The following is an 18,109-nucleotide window of genomic DNA, read 5'->3' as shown; positions in this document are numbered from 1 at the left end:
TGAGCCAAGATCACACCACTGCACTCCAGCCTAGGAGACAGAGCAAATCAATCAATTAATAAATAAATTTCTGTATTCATTTCCCACCTGCCACCTTAAACTGTTCTCCATGGTAAAGACTACAGTATACTTCCTTGTATTTCCTGCCTGCAATGAAAGATCAATGCTATGGATAGAGAAGGAACTCAATAAATTTTTAGTTATTTAATCAGTTAATTTGATTAATCAAATTAATCAAATCAAATTAATAAATTATACATATAAAGGTGTTTAAATGTAATACATTATATAAGAGATTGCCATTACTTTAACAGTTCTCTTTTAAGACTCTCCAAATAATTTGAACCTCATGATCCTATTGGACACCAAGAATCCTCAAAAGCCTTGAGCCTAACTCTCTAATGACCAGTGCCCAGACCTGCTCTCTACAACTCTGGTTCTGGAATAGCCCAACTTCAGTGAGGCCTATCACACAGCTGTTTCTTCTAGGACACAGAGTGCTGGTAAGCTCACTATGACTTCTCTCATGCCACTCTGACAATATGTGATAGGCTAAATGGCCCAAGATTGGGGATTTATTACCTTCAATCACAAACTGTTGGAAGAGTTTTTGGGGAAAGTGAGATGAATCATTCATATGCATTTTCTCAGCTAATCCTCAACAATCTTGTGTTAGAACCACTTTTACATGGCTGTCTTCATGCAGTGGACTTTTTTTGACATTTATACATATTTTACAACCCTATAAAATAAACTTTTAAACATACAGTCTTTTCTTCAATACAAAGTGACGTGTGCAAGACAACCCTATGCCACACCAAAACCCTGATTCAAAGCTTCAGAATACTGAAGTCATGTGCAGACCCCAGCTGCAGTATCTGGCCTGGATGACCCCTAAAACTCCTTCCAGTTCTAACATTTTAAGTATTCCAAATTACTGGGAATCCTACTTAGTCTTTCTTTCTGCCTACTTACTTGTTGCTATCCCAGGACAGGGATAAAGTATGTGCAGGCTACATATTATGCAGCAGTAGCTAGGGTTACTTTGTCACTGAGGCAGGAAAAAACTCACATCTGCCTCAAATGGCATCCTTTCTCCTGCTCCTGCTCCCATGCAGGGAAACTCACTACGACAAAACCCCAACCCTTGCAGTTTAGCTGCCCCTAGGTGAATGGGTGAGTAAATCAGTTAAACTAAACAGGAAGAGGAGGCTGCCCCTTGTCTTTCTAGGGCCTTGTCCCAAGTGTGGTCTTTGGACAGCTGCAATAGTTTTACCTGGAGGCAGAATCTCAGGCCCCACCCCAGACCTACTAAACCAGAATCAGCAGTTTAACAAGGTCTTCAAGTGAGTCATTTAGACATTTACATCTGTGATGCAAAGACCCAGGGTCTAAGCTAGCACTGTCCAACAGAGTACTCAATAGCTACAAGTGGCTATTTTAATTAAATTATTTAAATTAAATAAAACCTAAAATTCAGTTCCTCAGTCACACACTAGCTACGTTTCAAGCACTCAACAGCCATGCATGGCTAGCGGTTACCCTGCTGGACAGCACAGATACAGAACATTTTCATTCTCATGGAAACTTCCATTGGATAGCACTGAACACAAACCTGTTTTCCAACCCAACTTTACTAGTGAATCCTACCTACACATCAGGGTCAAAAAAAAAAAAAAAAAAAAAGCTCATATTCAATTTTAATCCTATCCAGCTCCTGAGTCTATTTCTCTATAAAAGTAGGTGATAAATCAGGTACTGCCAAGTCCTGTTATCTGGAGAGCAAACATGCTGGATCAAAACTGACCCTTTCTCCATACAAGTAGCTGTGTACTAAGAGTATAAGTCTAAAAAGCTCCCTTTATATGCAAAGGAAGCATCAATTGCAAAGTAAACTGTAGAGAAATAATGGATGTTTGGCTTTCCTGCTGGCATCCACTGTCCCAAAAAAAAAAAAAAAGAACTTTAAAAAGATTATCTTTATTTCTGCCAAGGCTACTATCCCAATACCATTCCTTGATCAATGATTTTCAAATGTTAGCATGAATCCAATCACTGGAAAGTTTTGTTACAACACAGATTGCTGGGTCTCACTGCTAGTTTCAGATTCAATAGGTGCAGGGTGGACCCAAGAATTTACATTTCTAACCCATTCCCAGATGATGTTGTTTCAGGTTCCACACTTTGAGAATCATTGACCCAGGGTAACACAAACATTGAAAAGACAATTAGAACTTGAAACTTGCTTACACAAACACCACGGTGCCAGGCAAGAGTGCTCCCGCAAAGAAAGCAGGCTAAAATCAAATGAGCCAGAACTCAGCACTTTTTGCCTCTCTTCTCCATAATGAGATACAACAGAGCATCAGAAGCAGAGCAGGTCATGGAAGAAACAGCAAGTCAGAAATGGTCTTTCATCCTTAATCTATAATGTAGCAACTGAGGTCTTGATTAACTTTCCCTCACATCTCAAGGAGGTAGCTTGCATCTGTTATTAACTTCACAAACCTCTGAAAACCAGCCTCTACACACATTCATTCTCCCTCCCCAAACTCTATTGAACCTGAAATATTAAGAACCTCAAATGACCCTCTAATTGCCCAAACCACTGGGTCTTAATCTCCATTTTTACTAACCTTTCCATAACACTTTCTTTTAGCAATCTGTTTGCCTCAGCAATTCTCATCTGCTTTGACCTCCACAGTTCATCTTTTATCTAACTGGACTCTCAGTGTCTTTAATGGGAGCTCCTCAGACCACTGTTTGTTTGGTTTTTTTTTTCTTCCTTTTCAAGAGGAAAGATTATGAGATGGGACCTTTCCTGGAACAAAGGCTGAAATCTGCATTAAAGAAGAATGAGAAGACTCTGCCAATGTCCTTGGCTTAGGGATCATGCTTGCTGCTTTCTTGATGGGCTTCCTTCTACAGATTAAGAGGACACCTTTTTCCTTTGTATCCTAAATAAGGCAGAAAAATTATGCAACTGGATTTCAGTATCAGCCCACGAAACTTGTACCAGGGAAGGTAATAAAAAGGTGGAATACTCTTAGGCATAGGACTGGAGAGAGCATAGATCTTATCTAGAAATTGCCTGCTACTAGAATTGACAAGGAATAAAAAGCACAAGAAATCTTTTGATCAGGATCTGTTCTCCTGTGTTCTGAAATTCCCATCACATTGCAATTAAAAGAATGAAAAATGGCCTGGTCCAATAGGGGAGATGACCCCAAGTCTGGCAGGCCTCCTACAGTCTCCTTAGCATCTCTTCCTCCTCCAGGCACATCCTCCCGACAGGTGTTTCCCAATTTCTACCCTGATTAACTCTCAAAGTGCATCGTGATGGGACTTACTCCAAAAGTGCTAGCCTTTGTCCTGACTTTTAGCCAGTCCATGTCCATTAGAAAGTTTCAGCCATTACTTCCAACATTACCTCATACTAATAATATGTGAATAACAAATTTAGTGTGCCTTCCAACCCTAAACTTCCTCAACTGTATCTAACCTCTCCTATAGCCCTTCACTCTGAACGGGCTCTTCTTCCCGCTGGCCCTCATTGTGTCAGTGGCAGTCATGTTCCCTCACCTCAGAACTGCAGGGACAACTCTGAGTCTTCCCACATTCACCAAGTCCCAAAATGAATGAGACACAAGGATGAGTGCCTTGTATGTTTGGTTAGTGCCATGCACACAGCAGGCACTCAAAAAAAGGAAAGCTGAAAAGCATTTTTTAACCATAATTCCTGAATCTAGCCCCTACTCTATAGCCCCAGAGGTCACTAACTTTATATAACCCTACATTACTCTCCCCAAAACTATTTCAACAGTCTACTCCCTGCTTTTTTCCCACCAATCTTTCCCTATTTCAATCCATCCTTCACAGTTATCAGTGTCCTTCCTAAAAGTAATGTCACTCCCCTGCTTAACCTTTGGCATCTCTCCATTACTCAAAAGGTAAAGTTCACTCTTCTTACTTGACATCCACAACCTTTCATAATAGGGTCCAAATTATCTCTCCTACCTCATTTCACCACTCTCTGCCATGTGAAAGCTCATTAATCTTAATGAGCTTTCATACCAGCAAACATGGACTGTTCCCTTTGCCTGGAAAGCTACTACTCCTTCATTTCCTCTTCTCTAATCCCCAGTATAACCTCAACGCTTATCCAATGTCTTCGGTAGTCCCACTGAACTAACACTTGTCGTACTATATCATAACTATGTACTACGTTAGAATATTCCATTAAAGGTGACTTGTTAAGCTGAACCCTGCCTCACTCAACAGACCCTGGCAGACTGCTCAAAGGGGGCACATATTGTCTGCTAAACAAGCTTACATATCCAAAAACTTTTCAGTTTTTATTACTTTGGGAGGCTATACAGTTATTTCAGCAATGTAGTCCCTACTCAAAACATTTTGGAACTCCCCTCTTGCCATTTGTAATGGCCTTCTGAGCTTGCTGGCTTTCTGGAGAAGAAAATCAGTCCCCTTGCTTTATACTCACGAAACATTTTCTTATTTTTTTCTTCTTTTCACAGGTGTTGATCATGAAACATTTTCAACCAAAAATAGTAGAGCCAAATTTGAGCATTGCCAACCTCCACCCACCTCCCTTCATCACATGGATTTGTTCCAAACAACTTCTGGCCCTTCAAGCAAGGAAACACTCCTTCAAAAGATGAACACTTGCCATCACTAACATTGTGCCACAGGCTCTTAAGACAATTTCAAATGGAAATGCAACGAAGTTTTGCTAATGGTAGCATCACTGAAATAAGTGTAGTGTCTCAAAAGACTCCTATGTGATGGTGAAGAATTAAGTGTGTATGTTTAGGCACAAGTTTTATTTTTCAAAGAATATTTCATCTTGCTATTTGTCGAATGAAATCTTAAGGAATAAAATGTGTCTCAGTTTCTCCAAATTGCAAAAAGGAATTACCATCTTCCCACTGACTCCATGAATGCCAAAGTCACTGAAAACTAAGCTTAATGACTGTTGAATCAATTTCCAAAGATGTAAAATTCTGCTTTAATAACTTCATTAAAATATTCTTAAACTAGAAACACCCTACCCAGAAACTGCAGCATCCTTTTCCAAGGAAAGGGTTATATCATTTAAAAGACTGATGCCATAAACACGAGAAAGGGGCAGGTCCCCATGTTGCTTAATGTGTATTGAGCACCCGCTGGGTGTCTGCCCCATTCTAGGTGACCGAGGGACAAGAGAAAGAAAAGGATAGAGCCGTAGCACTCAAGCTTTCAAAATCATTCCTGACAACCTCTTGCCAAAGCAGTGAATACATTCATAACCACCCATCCCTAGTGAAGCAGTTTACCCGAATGTCTCTATTTACCCTCTCGAATTGATTCGGGGGAAGATAAATCTCTTTAACCTCATATCATCCCTGTGGGAGGGGAGAAGGGTTGATCTTCCCCATCCCTAGGCTGAGAAAATTGAGGAAGCAGCGAGGTGAGGAGTGGTCCACACCTTTCCCTTCCCTTCTCAGCCAGCATTAGAGGCAAGAAGCCAGAATTTCTGACATCCCAGTCCCAAGCCCGCTACTTCAGTGAAAAGGAAGAATCAAACTCCAGCTTCTCCCTGCAAAAACGCTCACGGACGCAGACACCGCCCGGCCCCATCTCCTGGGAGCTGCAGGTGGAGGCACCGTAATGGTGGACGGAGACGGCTGAGGGGAAAGGTGGGGCGCGCTCGCGTGCCCCTCCCGCAGTACCCCTAGGTCCCGACAAGTCGCTGCCACGGCAACCTGAGGCCGCAGGGCGGGGGACCCCCTACTCCCAGACCACGATGGGTACCTTCGAGTACTCCTGAGCCAGCTTCTGGTACTTCCCCTGCAACTCAGCCGAGGCCATGGCCTCCCCCGCCCCGTACAGGCCAGGCCGCCCAGGCGGCTCAGCCTGTCTCCCGCCCCCAAACCCAGACACGCTCCCGGGAACGGGTCAGGCAGTATCTGCCTGCTTGGCCACCGCAGCCGCCGCCGCCGCCGCCGCCGCGCCTCCTCCTCCACTTCCGGGTTCCCGGGGTGGGAGGAAGGTGGAGTGGGGCCGGGGGCGGAGCGACCACAGAGGGCGGGGCGACGTCTGGCGTCAGTGCCCCACCCTTCGCGCCCGAATACGTGCGTGCGTAGCCTCGCTAGCGTGCCTGGGCTGTGCCCCTGGGACCAGGGGGCGCCATCTTGACTCATGGTCCAAGATGGCGACCTGGAACGCTGAGCGAGAGAATCAAGACGGGAAGAGACTCATGAGAGCCTATAGAATGGGCGGGGGACCTAGGAGAGGGACGATAATTGCGAAGACCAGAGGGCCGGAAGAAGAAACATTCTAAGCGCATCAAGAATTCTGGCCGACTCCCCACAGCCCCGGGTTCCCATGGCAACCGCCTGGCGCTTGATGGTTACATCTTTCAGCACAAGCGTGGAAAGATTTGTGTATTCGGCTATTTTGTCATCCGCATATGATAGCACAGGACATGCTCTGCACTGTAAACTCTCAGACCTTCCCGATATTTGTAACTTTGGCTGCTGCCACTGGCCCCGGCTCCAAACCTTCAGTGTCCTGTATTTTGACATTTCTTTGTGTCCGTCTCTACCCACTTCATTCTCCCACTCCTACCCCTTTACACACACCACATCAGAGCTTTTTTGTGGGGACTGAGTAAAAGACCTTTAGGAAATTTCAGGTATCGATTCCTTCTATGCATGCAGAGTAGATATGAACAGCAAAAATAAAAAATAAAAAAATTGAAGCAGAAATAGTCTGCCTGAGAGATTTTATGTGGATACTGCTTGAATTAAAAGCCTGCCTCATTCATTTAAATTTTCTAAAGATATTCTTCTAGGTATTGTATGCATTGCAACATTAAAATGTTCATTAATAGAGAAATGAATAAATACAGGGCATATGTTTGCCATAAATTACAATATGGCAGTTAAAATTAATAACCTAGATCTATATATGTATATATAAACATGGCAAAAACATGTTGAATGTAAAAAGCAAATTGCAGTATGCTACAGTATGAAATGATACATTTTTAAAATATAAAGTAACATTTTTATTGTTCATGGACACATGTACTAAAAATACAGAAACAAGAACTAGAAGGGAATACATCAAATTCTGGATAGTAGTTGCCTTTAGTGAGAAAAAGGGAAAGGAGATGAAACTGGAGAGGACAAAGGGGCATAAACTTTCTCCTTATTTCTTTAATTTTTTACAGTAAGTATAACAAGATTTTAACATTTATTAGGTAATAGGTACAGGAATGTTATATTGGCACTTTAGAATGCTTGCAAATTTCCATGATTAAAAAAGTATTAGTGCTATTTTTATTTGACTATTAGCCAGGAATTTTATAGTGAAGGGCTGAGTCTATGTGCATTTTCAGCCACTGTAGTGTGTAAGAGAATTACAAACTTTTTTTGAATATTCATAGTTTTCAGTTTGCTCATAGATCCCACTGTCCAGCAAACTTTCAGAACAATAATTTTTAAAATTATTACTCTTAGTTTTCTATGGCACCACCGAGAGGCAGAATTAAATATTGTAAGTGTATCTCAATGCTATGTAAAATAATGGAATTTTTTATTATTTAAAAAATTGCCGGCCGGGCGCTGTGGCTCACGCCTGTAATCCCAGAACTTTGGGAGGCTGAGGCAGGCGGATCACCTGAGGTCGAGAGTTAAAGACCAGCCTGGCCAACATGGTGAAATCCCATCTCTACTAAAAATACAAAAAATGAGCCTGGCGTGGTGGCGGGTGCCTGTAATCCCAGCTACTTGGGAGGCTGTGGCAGGAGAATTGTTTGAACCCAGGAGGTGGAGGTTGCTTGAACCCAGGAGGTGGATGGTGCCACTGCACTCCAGCCTGGATGACACAGCAAGACTCTGTCTCAAAAAAAAAAAAAAATTGCCATCCCAGAAATGACATTCCGAGGAAAGAATGTGCAGTGTTAGCCAGAGAGCCTGTATAAGTTCATTTTACTGAATTTAGAATTTTATTTTGCACTAGTGAATCCAGTTGCTGTATCAGATGCATTGTTTTAAACTCCCAATTGATAAATCTGAATACATTAAAATTAAGAATCTCTGACTGAAAAGACACCCCTAAGCGAGTGAAAAGACAAGCCACAGGGTGAAAGATGTTTTCTATATATATATCCAACATAGAAAGGTCTCTTATCCAAATATATAAAGAGCTCTTACAAATCAATAAGGAAAAAAGGCAACCAAATAGAAAAATGGCTAAGAGACTTCAACAGGCACTTCACAAAGGGAGGTAGACAAATGGCCAATAAACAGGCAATAGGATGTTCACTTCCATTAATAATCAGGAGGAAGTGAAATTCAAACCACAGTGATACACCACAGCACACACACAAAAATGGCTAAAATTTAAAAAGACAAGTGTTAGTGGGGATATGAAACGAGAAACTCACATAAAATGCTGATAGGAAACTAAACTGGAACAGTCAATTACAAAAAGTAATCGGTGTTATCTACTCATTTGAAAAGATACGGCTGGGCGTGGTGGCTCACACCTGTAATCCCGGCACTTTGGGAGGCAAAGGCGGGTGGATCACCTGAGGTCAGGAGTTCGAGACCAGCCTGGCCAACACTGTGAAACCCCGTCTGTACTAAAAATACAAAAAATTAGCTGGGCATGGTGCCGAGCACCTGTAATCCCAGCTACTTGGGAGCCTGAGGCAGAAGAATCGCTTGAACTCTGAAGGCGGAGATTGCAGTGAGCCGAGGTGGCGCCATTGCACTCCAGCCTCAGCAACAAGAGTGAGACTACATCTCAAAAAAGAAGAGTAAAGATATATACTCATGACGTGGCAATTCTACTCTTATGTACATGGCCGGTAAAAATGTGCATGTATTCACCAAGAATATTCACAGCAGCATTATCCATAATAGCCAAAAACACACAAAAAACCCTCCAAATGTCTATCAACAGAATGGATAGGTAAATGAGCATTCATGTTATGGAATACTAAACAGCAACAAAAAAAGACTGACCTACAGCTACAGTAAATTTTAGATAAGTCTCAAATAATCCACAGCAAAAGTCTGATCTTTAAAAACAAATTACATTGTATGATTTTGTTTACATAGTGTTCAAAGAATGGTAGAACTCAAGTAAAGGTTCATGTATGCACGCTTGAGTGATAAAACAGAAAAGTATGGAAGTGATAACCAAAAAGTCGGGAACATGATTACTTTTAGGGAGGAGGAAATGGTAAATATTCGTATGGGGAATGAGATGGGCTTTAAGGGTATATTCGATTTCTTACCTGTGTGATAATGACACAGCTGTGCTAACTTCATGATAATTCCTTGCAAGTTACATATTTGTTCTGTGTAGTTTTTTGTATCGGTATTACATTTCACAATAATTTTTTTTTTTTGAGACAGTGTCTCACTCTGTCGCCCAGGTTAGAGTGCAGTGACGCAGTCTCTGCTCACTGCAACCTCCACCTCTGGGTTCAAGTGATTCTCTTGCCTCAGCCTCCTGAGTAGCTGGGACTACAGGCACCTGCCACCACACCCAGCTAATTTTTGTATTTTTAGTAGAGACGGGTTTCACCATATTGGCCAGGCTGGTCTTGAACTCCTGACCTTGTGATCTGCCTACCTTGGCCTCCCAAAGTGCTGGGATTACAGGCATGAGCCACCGTGCCTGGCCAATAAAATTTTTAAAAATCTCAATTGTCTCATGTTTGCCAGCAATAATTTTCAACCTATAAACATAGTATACTTAGGGGAATGATGTAAAGGAAGGTTGATGGGAATTATAAATACACAGGTGTTAGAATGGTCATTAAGTCATTTAAAAACCTACTGCTTGGGTTTTTAAAATTTCAGTTGCAAGTGTCAGCAACTGAACTCAAATTAGCTTGGACTCAGGGAATTTACTGGAAGGATGTGTGGCTATTTCACAGAAAAACAGGAAGAAATTAGGAGATACAGGACCTCAGGCACAACCTAGACCAGAAATCTGAATGCTGCTTCAGCTCTCACATTGTCTGTCTCTTCTTGCAGGTCTACATCAACTTCTACAGGGCAGCAAGCATAGTTGCCCACTGCACTGAGCCTTCCATCTCACAGTTTTGCCTCCAGAGAAGAACCAGATTGCTTAGCTCCAGTTTGAAAAAAATTCAGGGAGCGTCTCTGATTGGCCCTGCTTCAGTCAGGTTCCTATCCCTGGGACAGTCAGATCTAGCTTGAGGTTTTAGTTACACAGGACAGGCAGGTCAGCCTGGAGGACCCCTAGGTCCTGACCAAGCCAAGAGAGACTAGATCACTCTTTCCCCAAATGAAGACTTCTGTGGCAGATGCCACCAGGGTAAGCAAGGAACACACCACCACAGAGGCCAGCAAGGGTCAGAAGACAGCATCAGGCCCCGCATGATGCAGATCAAGGTTCCCTGCCCTTCCCTTAAAGGCACACACCTAGAAGCCATCTTGGGAGGCGAGAGGGAGAAGACAACTCAGAACAAACAAGCATTTCCGAAAGAAGGAACTGTTGTAAACCAAAAGAAAACTGTTTTCACTGAAGAGACTAGGATAGTATTAACTGAGTTAGCTGTTGCCCTTCCAATGGAGTACAGACTTTTGAGGAAGACTAGATCTGTCATAAAGGGGAGGCTCCATTTTCTCTGCATACCTAAGCATAATATGAATCAATTGTGGTCACACAGCATGAGCAAGAATAAAGTTTTGCTTGTGTTGTTCGTATATCACCCTGAACAATAGATCTGGCATAAAACAGGACTTGGTGGCTTCCTTATGCACCATGGAGGGATAGTGATGGAGAATAGAGCTTGCCAGCTCTCATATAGGAGGCTGTGCAAGATTAAGTTGAGCCCTGGGGCAGAAAAGGGGACTAAGACGGGAACCATCCGGGTCCTGTCTGAAAGGCTACCTCACTTTTCTGTGGAGGATGTTCCATACCACAAAGATTGGATACTTTTGAGCCATGTGGCAGGTGGTTGGGTAGACAGAAAACTGCATAGTAGTGGAAGGGTACGTACCTATTTTATTATTTTAGATAACGGCTGATACAAAAAAGAAAAGTGAGATACTGAGTGAAGCTTGGGAACCCATGATTTGGAGGATGGGTATCAAATCTTTAAGATTAAAGAATAGCTCCTGATTTGAGGACTATTTTATTATTTTATTTTATTTTATTTTATTTTAGACACAGTTTCACTCCATCACCCAGGCTGGAGTGCAGTGATACAGTCTCGGCTCACTGCAGCCTTCACTTCCTGGGTTCAAGCAATTATCGTGCCTCAGCCTCTGGAGTGGCTGGGATTATGGGCGCACACCACCAGGCCCAGCAAATTTTTTTGATTTATTTTTTATTTTTTATTTTTTTAGTACAGACGGGGTTTTGCCATGTTGGCCAGGCTGGCCTCGAACTCTTGACTGAGGACTATTTTAAATGCAATGCCGTTTTCTACATAATCTACCCAATCTAACAGTGAGTGACTCATATTTGAATACATTGCACACTTAATCTCTCACATCCCTAAAAATTCACATAATGGGGGCAAAAAATGGGATTTTGCCGACTTACAGCAGGCTCTGGCATGTAGTGTTTACAGTCAATCCTCATTATTTATGGACTCTGTATCTGCGAATTTGCCTACTAGCTAAAATTTATTTGTAACCCCAAAATCAATACTTACAGCACTTTCATGGTCATTTGCAGACATGCACAGAGCAGTGAAAAGATTTGAGTCACTGGAAGCCCACATTCCCAGTTGCAGTCAAACAAGACGATGCTCACTTTCTTGTTTCAGCTCTCATATTGTAAACGTGTGATCCTTTTGCTGATCATGTTTTTTGCATTTCTGTTGGTGATTTTGCTGTTTAAAATGGCCTGCAAGCAAAGTGCTGAAGTGCTGTCCAGTATTCCTAAGCACAAAAAAGGCTGTGATGTGCCTTATGGAGAAAATACAGATGTATGATAAGTTTTATTCAGGCATGAGTTATAGTGCTGTTTGATGTTAATGAATTAACAATATGTATTAGTAAGGTATCTTTAAACAGAAACACACATAAAACAAAGTTGTATATTGCTCGGCTGATGGAAATGTTGTGACCAGAGGCTCACAGGAACCTAACCCTGTATTTTCCTTAGGAGTAATGTGATTTGCTAATTCAGTGTTCGCTGCAATTTATAGAGCACAACTACTATAAGTAATGAGAACCAATTGTATATAGATCAAGAACAGTGTGGAACTTCCCTTGGTCATACAAACAATGATCGATTATGCCATCAGTAGAGTCATGTGTTTACTATCTTGGCTATGGGATACATTTTCCATGTTTGCACACGCTTGAAAATCAAGAGCTTCTTTCAAGTTTCTCTCTCCACGTCCTTTAAATCATGCATTCTACTTCATAGTAACTTGCTGAATGTGGCAGCTACTACAGTGATATTGGAAGACCAGCTAGCCCCACTAGCACTTCCCCAAACAGTCACTAAGATAACTAAGCAAAGATTTTCTCTGGCCTGGTTTTACAGTCCCCATGGCTGGTTACCATACTTGATTACTGGGCTAACGAACAACTAAGATGTATATATGGATGGACGTAGGCACCTGGAGGGCTTTTTATTACAACATACTGTCCTTGTTGTTATTTTTGTTTTTAATCCAGTGCAAAAATGCATGTCACTCTACCTTAAATGGAAAGGAAAAGAGGAGAGGGGTGGGCAAGGAAGAAAAGAATTTTCCTTCACATGATTTTCTCTTGAGCAGCTAGCTCCAAAGTTCAGGTTTAATAAGTGCTCACTGAGGCAAAAATCTGAACAAATTCTGATGATTTGCAATTTTGAGGAGTCCTACTAAAAATAGGAATTCAGTACTTTGAAGTTTTGCAACTCTTTTTTTTCTTGGCTTTGCCCCAGTGCTTTTCCTATCTCAGTTACAGCAACACAGAAGACCAACTGAGCAAGCACAGAGTCCTGATGTATCTTGTCCAAAGTCACATGGCGGCACAGCAGAACCGAAACCAGGACCCAAGTCCTCCACCTCTACTGCAGATTGTACTTTCCCTAAGCTAGGCTAAGTGCCCCCGTGTGGGAAACCCTTTACTCTTTAGCTTAAAAAAAAGAAGAATGAGTTCTAGACCAGGGGTGACGTGCCAAAGCAAGCCTTATATTTTTCAGTATTTGTTTGAACTTGTACCTTCACAAAAACATACCGTTGGAGTTATTTGGAGGGGATTAGGGGATCAGGGTGGGGGCTGATATAAGTATCCAGTACTTTTTTTTGCTCACAAAATCCAAGAGCAGGTTCTCAGGGAGTGGGTGGGAAGCAGACACAGTAACATTTTACAGCTTGAACCTCATCTCTCTCCGCTTCTCCCCTTCTATCTTTGCTTCATTCTTGTTTATTCTCTTCTCCCAAAACTGTTTTTAATTTTTTTCTGCCTCCCTATTTAATGGCAGGAAATAGCCACATCCAGCACTCAGATTTATATAAATTAGCATACTAGATTTTTTTAAGTTTATGCCTTTTTATCATGGACAGTTTTAAAAGATGTGCAAAAATAAAAATAAGAGTGTAGTGAACCCCATGTACCCATTACCCAGTCTCAGCAGTTCCCAACTTCAGGTCTATAACTCTATCCATGTTCTCTCACCCCACTTGATTAATCTGAAATAAATCTCAGACATTATTTTATGCTTAAATATTTCAGTATACATCTCTAAGAGAAAAGAGCTCCCCCGCCCCTTTTTTGTTGATGGAAGTCTGGCTCTGTTGCCCAGGCTGGAGTGTAGTGGCGCCATCTCAGCTCAGTGCAGCCTTCACTTCCTGGGTTCAAGCGAGTCTCCTGAGTAGCTGGGATTACAGGCGCCCACCATCACACCCAGCTAATTTTTTTTTTTTTTTTTTTTTTTTTTGTACAGACGGGGTTTCACCTGTTGGTCAGGTTGTTCTTGAACTCGTGACCTCAAGTGATCAGCCCACCTCAGCCTCCCAAAGTGCTGGGATTACAGACGTGAGCCACCGCGCCCAGCCCGACCTCCCCCTTTTTTACATAATTATTAACTAAAGTGCATACTTCATTCCTTAAGGTGTTTTTGTTGTTGTTTTTTCTGACATCTTTTTTCTCTTCTTGCAGTGGGAAGTTTCTCAGACTTTCCTTATTTTTGCTGACATGGATAGTTTTTAGGAATACTGGTCAGGTATTTTGTACAGCATGCCTCAGCTGGGATTTGGCTACTGTTTCCATATGATTACTGGGGCCAAATTTTTGGGAGGACAAACAGATAAGGTGTAATTTTCAATATATCATATTAAGGGCACATACTAGAAACCTGTTAATCTTGATACTCTTGATAACCTATGTGAATGCTGTCACAATCAAAACGGAGTCGCTACTACTTAAAAACAAAAAACAAAAAAACCTTAGCAAAGAGAGACCGGGGAGACCTTAAAAAGAGGGTTCTCACACTTGTATACCTGGTAGCAAAAGAGACTCTGGAAAAACCACAACCTTACACAAATGCTATCGCAACGTTAAACAAAAAATAGTTCTGCGGGGACAGCTGCCCAGCAACTGCCTGCCCAACCCTGGACTGGCGTTATGGCATTATCCTTGTTACTGATCTTTGTAGCCAAAGATAATTTTTTTGAAACAACTGTGTAATCTTTCTCATTTTCTTCTTTTAAAAAACCTTTGTCTTCCTTTACCTCCCTGAACACACACATAGTTAACTATGGCATTTGTACGTATTCCCACTGCAGTGTTCTATTCCCAAATTGATAACATTTTCTTTTGGAGAGCCACTCTGTTATATAGTTCAACACCTAATAAATGTTAATCTTGAATTAAAATTAGATATTAAAGAGTTCTGTTTTCTTAAGCATGAGGCCTTCCCTTTTTCCACTGTTAGGCCCTTAAATCTGATTGTATTCGTTCTACTTACTGGCTGTAAAACAAAACATGTGTATTGAGGAGCAATGAGTGACCAGATCACATATAAGGGGGTCAAATGTATTGGATTGTTAAGTTTGGCTCTTGAGGGTGGGGAGGCAGGGGATAGTCCTCAGTTTGTGTGTGTGTGTGGAAGGGGGTTCGAATGTGTATGTTAAAATATATAAATAAATTTTACCATTTTAACAATTTTTAAGTGTATGCTTCCACAGCATCAAGTGCATTCATATTGTAGTGCAATCACCACCACCCATCCAGAACTTTTTTATCTTCCCAAACTGAAACTCCATATCCCTGAAATGAAAACTCGTCATCCTCCTGCCCCCCACCCCTGGCAACCACTCTTCTACTTTCTGTCTCTATGAATTTCATTACTCTAGGACCTCATATAAGTGAACTCATATAATGTTTTGTCCTTTTGTGTCTGGCTTATTTCACTGAGCATAGTGTTTTTAAAGTTCAGCACTGTCATAACATGTGTCAGAATTTCTTTCCTTTTTAAAAAAGAATAATATTCCATTGTATATATATACCATATTTGTTTATCCATTCATCCATTGATGAACATTTGGTTTTTTTCCAACTTTTGCATATTGGGAATAATGCTCTTATGAACATGGGTGTACAAATATCTGTTCAAGTTCCTGTGTTCAATTGTTTTGGGGATATACCCAGAAGTGAAATTGCAGAGTCATATAGTAATTTTATATTTAATTTTTTTTTTTTTGGAGGAACCATCATGCCATTTCCCACAGTGGCTGCACTCTTATGTTCCCACCAGGAATGTACAAGGGTTCCAGTTTCTCCACATCCTTACTAATACTTGTTACTTTCTTTTGCTATCTTTTTTGTTTGCTTATTTACATTATAGCTAACCAATTGGGTGAGAAGTGTTTTCTCCCTGTGGTTTTTGATGTGCATTTCCTTAATGATTAGTGATACCGAAGATGCTTTTTAATTTTTTTAATAATGGCTGAACTAGTGGGTGAGAAGTGCTTTCTCATTGTGGTTTTGATTTGCATTTCCCTGAAAATTAGTAATATTGAACATGCTTTCTTAAAAATTTCAACTTTTATTTTGTATTCAGGCCATACACATGCAGGTTTGTTACAAGGGTATATTGTGTGATGCTGAGGTTTGAGGTACGATTGAACCTGTCACCCAGTAAGCATAGTACCCAGTAGATAGTTTTTCAACCCTTGCCCCCCTCCCTTCCTCCTCAGTATTTATAATCCCCATCCTCTATTGATCCCATCTTTATGTCCATGTGTACCCAATGTTTAGCTCCCACTCATAAATGAGAATGTGCGGTATTTGGTTTTCTATTTCTGCTTTAATTCGCTTAGGATAATGGCCTCCAGCTGCATGCGTGTTGCTGCAAAGGACAAGATTTTATTCCTTTTTATGGCTGTGTAACATTCCATGGTGTATATGTACCACACTGTCTTTATCCAGCCCACCACTGATGGGCACCTGGGTTGATTCCATTTCGTTGCCATTGTGAATAATGTTGCAATGAACATGCTAGTGCATATATTGAACATACTTCCATGTGTGTGTTTATGTCCTCAGGATTGTTTTCTGATTTTTAAAAATTTGTATAAATTTAAGGCGTGCAAGTGAAATTTTGTTAGATGGATATATTGTGTAGTGATGAAGTCTGAGCTTTCAGTGTATCTGTCACCCGAATAACATACATTGTACCCACTAAGCAATTTCTCATCACCCACCCACTTGTGTCTTCAGTTTTTAAAGATGCTTTACAATTGTCCATGGTTTATCTTCTTACTCTACTACAAGTGTCACTATTTTATTCCTTGCCAGTATCACATAAAGACGTAGAGTGAGGGCACAGGTCTTTTGGACCTGCCCTTTAGGTGCAGGGTGGTACGGCCTTACTCCATAGCTCTACAAATAGTAGCAATCATGAGCCTCATCTGAGGCTGCTGGTCTACTTAGAAACGGCCTTCTAACCATTCTCCCTGACTCCAGTCCATCCCCTTTCTTGTCACAGGTTACTAGCTTCATAGATTAAAAACAAGTTTCTATTCCCAGGGAAAAAGACCCAAATTCTTGGGCCCCACCGTGCTTCCTGCACTCAGCTTCAATAGTTCTGATTTTCAACCAGTTTCTCCAGCACCCCATGTGTCTTTGCACACACCCTTTTCCCTGCTCCCCATCACCTCCACAACTCCTTCTCAAACATTACCTCCTCCCCTTTTTGGAGAGCCTTTGGCGCTTTAGCACTTTTTTTTTTTTTTTTTTTTTTTTTTTTTTTTGAGACAGAGTCCCGCTCTGTCGCCCAGGCTGGAGTGCAGTGGCGCTGTCTCGGCTCATTGCAAGCTCTGCCTCCTGGGTTCACGCCATTCTCCTGCCTCAGCCTCCCGAGTAGCTGGGACTACAGGCGCCCACAACCACGCCCGGCTAATTTTTTTGTATTTTTAGTAGAGACAGGGTTTCACCATGTTAGCCAGGATGGTCTCAATCTCCTGACCTCGTGATCCGCCCGCCTCGGCGTCCCAAAGTGCCGGGATTACAGGCGTGAGCCACTGTACCCGGCCTGGCACTTTAGCACTTTTAAAATGTGGACCATTATTTACATTTAAGTTCCTATTATACCATGTTTGGTCATGTGCCCTCGACTAAACTTCAAGATTCTTAGCATGAGAAGTAATGAGAAGTATCTTTTTTCTTTTTGTTTTTTTTTTGTTGTTTTTTTTTTTTTTTGAGACAGTTTTGCTGTGTTGCCCAGGCTGGAGTGCAGTGGTGTGATCTCAGCTCACTGCACCCTTGACTGCCCAGGCTCAAGCAATCCTCCCACCTTAGCCTCCTGTGTAGCTAGGACTACAGGCATGTGTCATCATGCCTGGCTATTTATTTTTGTCTTTTGTTTTTGTAGAGACGAGGTCTCACTATGTTGTCCCACGCTGGTCTCAAACTCCTGGGCTCGAGTGATCCTCCCACCTCGGCCTCCCAGGTGGGATTACAGGCATGAGCCACCGTGCTCATCTAGGACTGCATCTTATTTAGCCCTCTATACTCAGGGATGCCTGAGTAAGCCCCCAATTATGCCTGCCTGAGTGCAGGGCTGTCCATCGTCAGAAAGAAAGCAGCCACATGACACTCCCACAAACACA

The 18,109-nt window shown here is 41.8% G+C and overlaps 1 protein-coding gene across 6 annotated transcripts in view, besides 2 other annotated features; it reads right to left on the bottom strand.

Annotated features, from left to right (window-relative positions):
• Window positions 1–6,056, bottom strand: part of PPP1R21 (protein phosphatase 1 regulatory subunit 21) — a 74,621-nt gene extending 68,565 nt beyond the window's left edge. For all 6 annotated transcript variants that reach the window (NR_024188.3, XR_007069367.1, NM_001135629.3 and 3 more), the window contains exon 1: window positions 5,812–6,056. Coding sequence is in view for 4 of the 6 variants with exons in the window: in NM_001135629.3 (NP_001129101.1) it covers window positions 5,812–5,868 (57 nt within the window). In the remaining 2 variants the exon portion in view is untranslated. The remainder of the gene's footprint in view (window positions 1–5,811) is intronic.
• Window positions 5,851–6,140: a silencer, noted in NCBI's record as "silent region_11480". NCBI's record gives its function as "represses an Ori minimal core promoter by ATAC-STARR-seq in GM12878 lymphoblastoid cells {active_cell/tissue: GM12878}" and the evidence as "EXISTENCE:reporter gene assay evidence [ECO:0000049][PMID:35858748]".
• Window positions 6,161–6,550: an enhancer, noted in NCBI's record as "active region_15746". NCBI's record gives its function as "activates an Ori minimal core promoter by ATAC-STARR-seq in GM12878 lymphoblastoid cells {active_cell/tissue: GM12878}" and the evidence as "EXISTENCE:reporter gene assay evidence [ECO:0000049][PMID:35858748]".

The sequence above is a fragment of the Homo sapiens genome, chromosome 2 (genome assembly GCF_000001405.40).
Source record: "Homo sapiens chromosome 2, GRCh38.p14 Primary Assembly".
Classification (NCBI taxonomy): domain Eukaryota; kingdom Metazoa; phylum Chordata; class Mammalia; order Primates; family Hominidae; genus Homo; species Homo sapiens.
This window is presented reverse-complemented; position numbering and strand designations above follow the sequence as displayed.